This window comes from Homo sapiens, chromosome 4, assembly GCF_000001405.40.
Source record: "Homo sapiens chromosome 4, GRCh38.p14 Primary Assembly".
Classification (NCBI taxonomy): domain Eukaryota; kingdom Metazoa; phylum Chordata; class Mammalia; order Primates; family Hominidae; genus Homo; species Homo sapiens.
In genome coordinates, this window is record NC_000004.12 from 128,354,924 (window position 1) to 128,366,859 (window position 11,936).

At 40.6% G+C, this 11,936-nt stretch overlaps 1 annotated feature.

The window, feature by feature from the left end:
* Nucleotides 7,791–8,329: an enhancer, noted in NCBI's record as "OCT4-NANOG hESC enhancer chr4:129283869-129284407 (GRCh37/hg19 assembly coordinates)". NCBI's record gives its function as "activates a minimal SCP1, AML or CMV promoter by ChIP-STARR-seq in naive and primed H9 embryonic stem cells {active_cell/tissue: H9 hESC(naive and primed)}" and the evidence as "EXISTENCE:reporter gene assay evidence [ECO:0000049][PMID:30033119]".

The following is an 11,936-nucleotide window of genomic DNA, read 5'->3' on the forward strand; positions in this document are numbered from 1 at the left end:
ATAGAAAAAGCATCTTAAAATCTACTTTACTGTTATCTTCATTTTCTTCCATATGGATATCAGGTGATCCCCAAAGCTCTTAATCTCCAACTATTATCTCACAAACCCCAAACTCCCTGGCACCTATTCCACATGATTTTCTGGTCTCTCTCCCTCCTTCCTCTTGCTGCCTCTCTCAGCTCTTTAATATATACACAAACGGGGATTTCTCCACTCTTCTGTTTTCCCTCTATTTGCTCATTATTTAGATTCTGAGCAACAAATGAGAGTCCAAGAGCAACCTGAGCAGGTGAGACATTTTCCCTATTAGACATGAAAAAGAGGCATGGATGTGAAGTCCCACACCTAAATATTCTTTTAAATTTCTATTGCCCTATGGGCACACCGTGACTTACTCTTCCACTTGTTCTTCCTCTGGGCAGTTCCAGTCAGCTTTGCCATTGTGCATAACAGGAAGTGGAGTGCTCTTGCAAGGAAGGCCTAGAGTTTCAGGAGACAAACCATTGAGTTAATTTCTAACAGATTAACACAGATTCCACTTGTCTCGTTCATGCTATAAAACTGCAAGCCTACAGTTGCCTTTGTTTTCACTTCTACCTAAGATGAGCAGGGCTCTGATGCTATCTCTGGGATGGCATGGGTGTGTCTGTGCAAGGGCAGGCCTTCCTTGTCTGCCAGAGCAGGCCCCTGCCTGATAAGGCCACGCCAGGCCTCTCAGCTCCCTAGGGAGTCATCCCATGCATTGTGAAAATTTTACCATGACCCAGTTTGTTCCGTGTGTTGTTTTATTGAATTTCATACTGATGAACGTCAATTATTATTAAGTACCTGCTGTGTTCCAAATATGCCCTAAGCATTTTGTGTAATACAAGGGGGTCCTCAGCATCATGTAGTTTTAAAATGGAGATGTATAATGATAATTGACATTATCATATTAGAACTAAATAGAAGCTTATCTTTTAGGGCAAATTTGAATTCTTTTTTAAAAAAATTGCAAGTGTCTTTGTAATTGATTAATAAACAATACATTGTTTATTGTAAATTTTTTTGTAATACAGAGATGCATGAAGAAGAAAGTATAAAGGATGAGAAATTCTGCTTCCTAGAAATAACTACTGTTAGAGTTTTGATGAACATTCTTTGAGACATCTTGCTATACATACACACACATATATATTATACATACATAATTTTACATAAATGGATTTATAATATGCTTACTATTTGTAACCTGCTTTTTTTTTTCCACTCAGCAGTATGTCAGGAACTGGTTTCCCTATCAATAAATGTAGACCCACCTAATTATATCCAAATGTAGCAGAATGTTCAATTGTATCACCATAAGTTATTCAACTAATCCCTTATTAATGGAATTTAAATAATTTCTAATTCCTTAAAATATTATAAGCAATCATTGCACCTGTCTGCAGTTATACTCTTAGCACGCATTCCCTGGACGTGGATTTGCTGGGTCAAAGGATATGAGCATTGAAACTTTTGAGACGTAATGCCACACTTGGCTCAAACACCAACCCCCTTGATTCAGATGCTGTTGATGACCCACTCATATCTTCTTGGTCCACTCCGGAGGTCTCTCAGATGGAACAAGTTTATAGCCTGTTGAGTGTCTCCACCAGGAATATTTGCTAGCTGTGGAGCCCGTTCACAGGCAGGGAAGCATGAAGTGCTGGAAGTGCACTGGGAGTTAATGTGACCCCTAACTACAAAATGATGGGAACTGGTGGATAAATGCTCCAGTTTCCTTTCCCCGAGGTGGGACTATTCTAATGTGTGTTGTACACAGTCCCTAGGAGAATTTAGTCTAGTTGCCTGTAGTAGTATCCTGCTCATTTAACTCACAAGTTATTTGCTTTCCTCCCTTACTACCTGACTGCCCCACTCCTTTACTGGGCTTCGTGGGACTTCTACTCAAATCCTAGTCTCAGGGTCTGCTTTTGCAGGAGCCCAAATGAAGACATCCTTCATATTACAGGTGAAAGTTGTGGTAGGTACAATAATGGCCCCTTAAAGATATCCATATCTTAGATCGCTGGAACTTGTGAAAACATTACCTTACTTGGAAAAAGGGACTTTCGAAATGTAATCACATATGTAATCACATCTTAAGAACCTTGAGATAGGAAAGTTATCCTGTATTATCTGGGTGGCCCTGGTATGATCACAAGGGTCCTTAAAAGTGGAGAAGAGAGGCAGAAGAAGAGAGTCAGAAGGAGATGTGAAGAATCAGAGATGCAGCATTTCTGGCTTTGAAGATGGAGGAGGGCCATGAGCCAAGGAGTGTGGGTGGCCTCTATAAGCTGGAAAAGGCACGAAAACAGATTTACCCCTGGAGCCTCCAGCAAGGAACCTAGTTCTGCTGACACCTTGAATTTAGCCCAGTGACTTCTGTATTGGACTTCTAACCTACAGTACTGTAAGATAATAAATTTGTGCCACATTTGTGGTAATCTGTTATGGCAGCAATAAAAAACGAACACAAAAAGTTAAACAATACAAGGCAACTGGTGCCAGAAGCATCATATGGCAGTGCCTATTGTTCCAAAAGAGGAGCGTGAACAGTGAGGCTGAGAGAAGGATGAAATCATGAAACTTGTTCCTTCCTCTTGAGCACAGAGTGGTTTGCCTGTGGGTGTTTAGAGTAGTGGCTTAATGACCACTAAATATAGGCCTGTGGCCAGAAACCCTCCCAATGAGCTGAGGGTTTGTATGAATTTTAATTTACTTGAAAATTCCATCAGATTTCTGAAAATTTTAGTGTGTATAAAAATTATCTGGGAAAATAAAAAGTTAAAAAAAAGATCATCTGAGGAATTTGTTCAAAATGTAGATTCTTGGATCCCATTTGCCTGAGGTTCTAATTCAAAGGTCTGGAATAAGGTCCAGGAATTTGCATTTAAAACCAGGTTACTCTGACACACATTGCTTTAGGGGACTTTCCTACTAGAACCCTCTGCTCTTTGGCAGTTGTGGGGGAGGTCTACACGGCACCCACTTTGTCAGGCATTTGCGTAGGTAAGGTGAGAAGAGAAAGGAATCACTAGAAATTGTCTATTATTGTATCACATCCAAATATCCTAGTTTTGTTTCTGTTTGGGGGTGTCAGTCACAACAGTCATTAGCATCAACCAGAAGCCCGAGTGTAATAGATGGGGTGGCCTGTGTCACCAGAGGCAGAGCATCTGGGCCCTGGGCCCCTGAGGATTGTCTGATCTTATGATTGGTTTGCTTACAATAGCATTTTCTCATTTGGCTGATGGGCAAATTGTTTTCAGATGACCTTGGAGAGCCAGGGTAGTTTGGCTGTTACTAACTGGAAGCTGCACATTCAAACATTTGGAATATCCTGAGGATTACAGATGTGCTGAAGGGTGTCTTGGATCTCCTCCAATGAGGGTTTCAGAGGTCATCTGAAAAGAATGCTCGCCTCTGCCTCATGCCTTTTAGAAGGAGGCTCTGTGCTTGTCTAGCTTTATGCAGCTCTCTGAAATGTCAGAAGATAAGAAATGCCTCTCAGCACGAAGGCTTCCAGACACATATGTGACAAGAAATTTGGCATCAGCTTTATAAGTGTCAGATGTCTAGGATAAAGCAATATGGGTATAGTATTTCTGGTGCTATTTTGGTGCCTTGTGCATGAGCCTGCAGCATTAGAAAAACTGCTTTTCAGCTTTGGATGGTAGCCTTACTGGCGCTCGGCATGCATGTCTGAAAGTACAGTTGGGTCATATTCTAGTTATGGTCCACAGCAAGTCACCTAGAGTTGTGATATTGAGCTTTAACGGAGTGCCCTTGAGGCACACGGGCATTTCACAGCCTTTGACAACTTGAGTGGCACAGCCACAGAGACTGTCATCAGATGGTGCCATATAAGCCTTAATCAACTCTTGCAACACCCGTGCAAAGTTGGTAAACACTCTTATCCTTGCTTTTCAGGCAGGGAACTAAAGCAAGGAGAGGTCCAACAGACAGGGTCACAGACTCAATCAGTTCACTTATCTGACTGTTGAATGATCTCAGGTGAATGAGATCAGAACGAATTTCTACTTTCTCTAACTCAGGAAATTTGTCTTCTGGCGAGAGAGCATTTTTGGCACTTTGTGACTTGCTGAAAGACTTGAAGTTTCCAGTCTGGCTCTGGCTGTTCATTGGTTAAGAGCAAATGCCTGGGGCACTTGGCTTAATGACTGTCATAAGCAGTGTGAAAAAATGTGTAAGAAAAAACAAAATATGGTAATGTAGAGAGGTTGTTAAGGCAGTAATATCCAATAGCAATAATGTGTATAAAGTCTGAGTGATAATACAACCCTTTTACCCAAGGTATTTGATACTGGCTGAGGCCTCTTTTATTTATTTAAAATCCAGTGATGAGCTCTAAACACCGTAGTTTAAGAAGGTAAAAAAATACTTGCAGTGCAGAGTTTTCTGAATGATTCAAAAATGGAAGTAGAAGACCCATGAGAAAAGATGAAAGCATTGCTCTTAATTTGTGGAAAGAAAGTTGATGAAAAATTACAAGGTCTATAAATGTATCACAAGGTTTTTAGAGAAGACAAATTAATTTTCCACTGATGACAAAACTTGAAAAAGTGGGTTTATCTTAGAGATTGAAAGAGTCATAGGAAAGAATCTTCTGGTGTTGAGAATGGTTAAAAACCAGATGAGGCTACCTAGAAAGGAATTCCCCTCTTCTGAAGGTCCTTAGTAAATAGGCTAAACCAGCCCAGCATGATCAAGGTTAATGATGTCAGCTGGTGTCTCCAGCGCCCTAAGGTGGGCTGCCAGTAGTGATCATGGTAGGATTACTTTTCTTTCAACTTTTTAGTTTGAAGTAACTTTAGACTTACGGAAAAGTTGCAAACTAGTATGCAGAGTTCCCATATATCCTTCACCCAGCTTCTCTTGATGTTAATATTTTACACAACCATGATCAAATGATCCAGTGATCAAAACCAGTAAATTAACATTGCTGCAAAATGGTGGTAGGGGCTTTGAGGGGAGGGAGAATAGGTAGGACTGTGGACTTTCACAGTCCTTCCCTGGAGCAGACCACTTTTATTTGTTTATGTTGGAATTCCACATACTATTTTATTTAAACAAATAGTTCTATTGCAAAAATTTGAAAACCAAGTTTAGGAAGAGAGATAGTTTAACTGACCTCTACCACTAAGATTTTGTGCTTTTGATAATTATATCGTTTGTCAGATAATTAGAGGGTAAATGTGTTCGGTAAAGACATTTATGGACGCAACGTAATGCTACATTTTTGTTCGTTTCTTGATCTATTCAGGCTTGTTCTGTTGTAAGCAGGTTATTTATACTTGCTTTCTCTCCAGCACCAAAAACCATGACTGGCATATAGTCTATGCTTAATTAATATTTGTTCAATGGGCCGGGTGCAGTGGCTCAAACCTGTAACCACAGCACTTTGGGAGGCCGAGGCAGGTAGATCACCTGAGGTCAGGAGTTGGAGACCAGCCTGGCTAACATAGTGAAACCCCGTTTCTACTAAAAATATAAAAAATTAGCCGGATGTGGTGGCACTAAAGCGCCTATAATTCCAGCTACTCGGGAGGCTGAGGCAGGAGAATCACTTGAACCTGGGAGGTGGAGGTTGTGGTGAGCCGAGATCACGCCATTGCACTCCAGCTTCGGCAACAAGAGCGAAACTCTGCCTCAAAAAAAAAAAAATTGTTAAATGGAATCAAATTGGCATGTTCACCCTTTTCTCATTTCTTCACATGCCTTGCTCCTTATTCAAATATCTGCGTAGGCCTTCCCTGACCATCCAAACTAAAATAACCTTTTTTCTATTATCTCTCACATTCTCTCTCTTTTACCTGGCACTATTTTGTTGTTGTTATTCAGAGCACTCGTCATTATCTGAAAGATGATTTATTTGTTCATATGTTTGTTAAAAGTGTATGGTCTGTCTCCTACTAACAGTAAGCTCCTTGAGGACATTGACATTGTCTTGTTGAATCTGTCTTGTGGGTTCTAGGGAATGGTATCTCATATCTGAAAGTTTATATGAAATATGTGTTGAAAGAATGAGTGAATGAAGACATGGTCGCCTATACTTTGAAGATAGAGGTAAGTTAACTTCAGAAATCTTCACTTAAACATCTTTCAATTCACAATTTGCATATTTGGAAATAAAAGATGTGATTATTTTTTCAGTTAGAGCATTGCATTTATAAATTTCTTTTTGCCTTTCACTGATGTAAGAAAATTATTTCTTATTTTAATCTCAAATAGTGATCCTGCGGCTGGTAACCCTGTAGGAATATTTTTGAAAGAAAAAGGATAAATTCTGTGAAACTCTGAGCTCTAAGAAAGATGATAACTGCATTTGAGATAGTTGTATTGTCATGATTAATTAGTGTTATACAAAAGTGAGAGACTCACACAGCCCTGTCAGTGTCATGGGAATCACAGTGCCTCCTACCATGTTAATAGGAACCAGATCCAGTTAAGCAAATTAAAATAATTTAAAATATTATGCATGTGGGCATCCCACAGTATGACAACTGGCCCATTTCTCAGGGCCAACCTCATCTATACACAGAGAAAGACTCAAAATTGTCATGTTATCTGTGTATGTGTATGTGATTAAGGTGTTACAAGAATATCTGCTGTTACATTTTTTTGTGTGCATATAGGCAGCAGAGTGGCACAATGCAAGAGTGCTGGGCCCCAACAATATTTTATGCACAAAGGCAAATTAAAAAAAAACAAAAAACCTCATCATGACTCAGTTGTGCAAGATTTCAGAGAGGGTGATTTAGGGCAGCTCAGTCTGGAGCTCTATGTTTTCCTGGTGGCATTTAAGGCTTAAGAGCTGGATAGAGGTTTCCAAGTAGTTACTGAGTGTGGTGGGCAGAATAATGGCCCCCCAGAGATGTCGTATCCAAATCCTTAGAACCTGTGAATATGTTAGGTTACGTGGCAAAGGGGATTTAAGGTTCAGATAAAGTCAATGTTGCTAATCAGCTGACCTTGAGATTGGGAAGTTATCCTGGATTGTCTGGGTGTGCCCAGTGTAATCACAATGGTCTTTAAAAGTGAAAGAGGGAGGCAGAAGAAAGTGTGATAGTATAGGGATGTAAAGAAGACTCAACCAGCCCTTGCTGGTTTTGAAGCTGGAAGAGGGTCGTGAGCCAAGGAATAAGGGCAGCCTCTAAAAAGCTGGAAAAGATCAGAAAATGGTTCTCACCTACAGTCTCCAGAAAGGAACACCGTCTGGCCAACACCTTGATCTTAGCCCAGTGAGACTCATTTCTACCTTCTGACTTCCAGAAGTTTAAGGTAATCAACTTTTGTTGTTTTAAGCCACTGAGTTAATGGCAATTTGTTACAACAGCCATAGCAAGCTAGTATACCGAGTCTCATTCTTACCCTTATGAGACCTTCCACAATTTCATCCCATCCAACCCACCCAGCAATGTCTTCTGCTTGGGTCAGATCAGTTTCCTCCCTCCTTCCAGATACATTATGCTCATTCCCACCTCCTAGTTGTTCTCCCTTCTGTGGGTTTCTCTGTTGGGAAAGAATTTCTCCCTCCTGCTAGTATAAATCTGTGTGGACATGGTTTCTCCGTCCCATAAACTGCTAGACCAACCTTGATCACCCAAACTCTTCAGGTGATCAGATGTTAAAATATTTCAATCAAAATGGACTAAATTTCTAACGTGGGCTATAACTGATGTCAAGAAGATGAGGAGGATTTAAAGGCTTACTTTAATAGACATACACATTGACTAGTTGAGGAAATATAGACAAAAGCAGTTTCAAAATAGTATGCTGTATGCTAGAACTGAAATGTGTTTAGGGTACTGGAGGAAGGAAGAGAAAGGATGCCTGATTGCCTAAATTGGGGCAGTTGTGAGGGTCACAGATTAGACTCAGGTAAAACCTTTCAGAGAAGAGGATTCCTGGGTTGCCTTATGAATGGTGAGGAGTTTGTGAGGCAACACAAGGATGGGAAAGGCTACTTCAGGCAGAGAAAACAGCTAGTTCAAAGGAGAGAGGTGTAAGGTGTGTTTTATGCAGGAACTACAAGTTGTTTGGCATAACAATAGTGGGTTAAGAAGAAAGGGACAAGAAATTAGGTTAGAAAGAGATAGAAGGCAGATAGCAAATGGTTTTCTAGGTCAGGCTAAGTGGTTTGTAGATAGAAGGATTTAAGCGATAACATGATTTGCATTTTGGGAAAATTCCTCTGATTGCAACAGGGACAATGGATATGAAAGGGTTGAGGCTACAGGCAGAGAGAGAACTTCTGCGAGGCTGTGGTCTAGAGGGGGAATCAATAAGGCCTGAACTACGGCATTGATAGGAGATCAGGAGTGGGGAATTGGCACGAGAAATAGAAGGGAGAATCAACAGTAAAGAGGCCATGGAGTGAGTGGTGGTACCCACTCTTTGGGATAGGAAAATTGACTTCATGAGGAAATAGGTATTTAGTTAAATGTTGAATTTAAAGTACTCACAGAGTGTAAAGATGGATACCGCCCAGCACCCAGTTGGTATCAACTTCAGGAAAAGCATTTAGGATCTAGATAATTTTGGAATCATTCGTATATAGGTTGAGTGTGCAAGAAGAGAAGAAGGGAGAACCATGTAAATATGTGGGATGAGAAAAAATGGTTCAGGAAGCTTGAGGAGACCCAGGAGATAATGGTGTCCCAGTGTCTTAGTTTGGCCTGCTATAACAAAAATAGCATAGACAGGTGACTTCCACTACAGAATTTATTTCTCACAGTTTGGGAGCCTGGGAAATCTAAGATCAAAGTGCTGGCAGATATAGTGTCTGGTGAGGACCCTCTTCCTGGCTTGCAGATGGCAGTCTTCTCGTTGTATCCTTAAGTGGCAGAAAGAGAGAGAAAGCTGCTCTTTTGTGTCTTTTTATGAAGGCACTAATTCCATTGAGGAGGGCTTTGCCCTCATGAACTAATCACCTCCAAAAGTCCTCACCTCCTAATACCATCACCTGGGGGGGTTAGGATTTCAACATATGAATTTTGGGGGGACATAAACTTTCTGTCCATAATACGCAGGAACAGAGGGAGGAGAGTGTGACAAGGAGAATGCGACAGCATGGAAAGCTACTGAGAGATCAGGTGTAACGACAGACATTTTTGTTGTATTTGTGTGACCTTGTTGCAAGAGTTTCATTGAAGTATGTGAGTGAGCATCAGAGGTTGAGAGTGAATAAGAGGTGAGGAAGTGGGAAAACCCATGGTGACCGCACTTCCAAGAAGCTGGGCTGTGGGAAGTCAAAGGTGGAGAGCAATGTCCAAGTTAAGAGAGAGTTCAACAGTCTCTGGGAAGTGCTGAGCGGGAACAGCCTTTGAGAAGACGCTATTAAATATACAGGAGAGAGATAGGTAGAGAGAGAGGAAGGAGGAATTGTTATTGGGAAAAGAAGACTAATAATCTAGTATAGGTAGAGAGTCTAGCTTCAATGAGTGGAGGATTCCTTTTAACTGAGATGTGATGCAGGTTAGTTTATAGGTTGTGGAGTGGAAACTGGATATAACAAGCTGGTTGACAGGATTCACAATCAGTAGCCACCATATAGGAATTGTGGGTCATTTTTTAAGGGGCCAGGGTTTGGGGAGGAGGCTTGGCAGCGAAGACAAGCTTTAGGATTTGCCCATGGAACTGAATTGGGAACTGGAGTCTAAAAAGTCAAGGAATTTTCTGTTTTGGGTGTTGGATGGGTATTTCACATGGATGTTTATTTTGCCCAAACTGACGTCAGTATTAGAGTGGAGAGGAACTTGGTGAGTCAGGCGATGAAGCTCTCAGTAAGTGCACTCAGGTGGTGATTTTGGTCACCTCTGTAAAAACTCAGCTTTACTCCCTGTAAGGAATTGACGGAAGCCAACCCTGACAGTGTAACAAAGCTCATCTGCTGGTAACAGTGCTTTATCCGACAACAGCGAGGCGATTATGGGAAGGAATGGAGGAATGTTGTATGTGATTTCAAAATTGGCTTATAAGATATGAACTCTGAATTTCTTGTGCCTTTCCAGGAAGAAAAAAAATATCAATATAGATAATTTCTACCTGTTGGCTGCTGCACCAAAAACTCGCTTAACCTCAATGATAATTCCTATTTGTTGGAGCCAAGAGAGTAGCATTTTTGAAAGACTGAATTATTGAAGATAAGATTGAGATCATTGTTCCAAGGGGATCAAAAGAGATAAAAGTCTTTCACTTCATGAACTCTGTGTTCTCTTCTTATGGCTGCTGTAATTATGTTGGCTGGAAATAACAAAAGTTTATTCTCTTACAGTTTTGGGCCAGAAGTCCAAAATCAAGGTGTCAGCAGGGTCCTGCTCCTTCTGAAGGCTCTAGGGGGGAGTCCTGCCTTATGTCTGCCAGCTTTCGGTGGGACTAGGTGTCCTTTGACTTGTGGCTGATAGCTCTAAACTCTGCCTGCCTCTTCACAGGGACTTCCCTGTGCTTGTGTCTTCTCCTTTTCTGTATAAGGACACTGGTGATTGGATTTAGGACCCACCTGGATAATCCAGGGTGAGCTCACCTCAAGATCCTTAACTTAATTATGGCTGCAAAGACCCTACTTACAAGTAAGTCACTCACAGGTTCTGGTTGGGCACATCTTTTGGGTGGGACCAACATTCAACTCACTACAAAGCCCAAAAGATTTAAAAATTTGTATCAGTGAACCTGATAACCTCTCCAAAGATATATATATATATTTACTTCAGAGTGCCTTGTCCTTTCCCATAAAGCAGTGTAGGGTACCCATTGCTCAGTAACTAGGTTTTGGGTTGGTATAGAATTATGTAGAGTCCATGCTGAGAAAACAGGTGTTGTTTTAGATGACAGTAATTCAGCAATGTCTAACTTCATTGATAACAGACTTAATCTACTGATTTGGGTCGACCCCTTGCATTTAGGGAGCCAAAGGGAAAAATCTTACAGGGTGAAAATATCTACATCTAAGGCCTCTGCTTCATGTATAGCCTAAACATATGCTCTAAATCTGAGAAAAGTTTTAAGATCTTTGCTTTGCCTTGGAAACTATAGCTGGCAAGATCTAGCAAAACTTACAGAATAGAAATTCCAGCAGGACCTACAGAACAGATCTGGAGCCCTGGCAATGCTTTTCAGGGGGCACTAATATAGTTTGGTCAATGCAGCGGTCCCCAAATCATTCTGTATGCAGGCAGATCAAAGATTGACATGTGCAAATGAAGTGATTCTGACAACATTAACATGCTGATTGCAGCTAAGTGCACTGCTTGTTCAACAGTTCTTCAGTAGACTAAAAAATATTTAATTGAAGTAATGAGAAACCAAAAACATTTCTTATTCATGATATTATACAAATATGTTCCGCACGCCTTCAGCTAATAGTTCTGTATTTGTGATTCTCAAATATCTCTGTCTCTAGTCATTAATTCTCATTTGTACTTCTGTCTCAAATTGAAAACTGCTTACAGGACATTTCTAATCAGAAGTTCTGCCATCAAGTCAGTATTTACATTTTCAAAACTAAGTTAATATTATCTAAGAACCCCGGCAATCTTTCCCCAAATCTTAGTTTCTGTTATTGATGACATCTGTTATTGATATTATAGTCGCTGAGACTTCCCAATTTGAGAGCAAGTTATAGCAGAAAAAAAGTCTGGAATAAGTGTTAGGATTTGAGAGTTTAGTTTAAATTTTGCTGCTCATATTTTCATAATTTTGGTTAATTCACATAACCTTTGGGATCTGTTTTCTGATGTGCAAAGTGAAGAGCCTGAGCTGGCAGCTGGATGACTTATACATGTATTTAGCAAACTTGTTTTCTGTGTCAGTAGGTCGTTTACAGAGCCAGGTGTGGGAATTCAGTGTTTACTGGGCCTGGTTCCGATCCTAACATGGTGGACCTGTTCTCT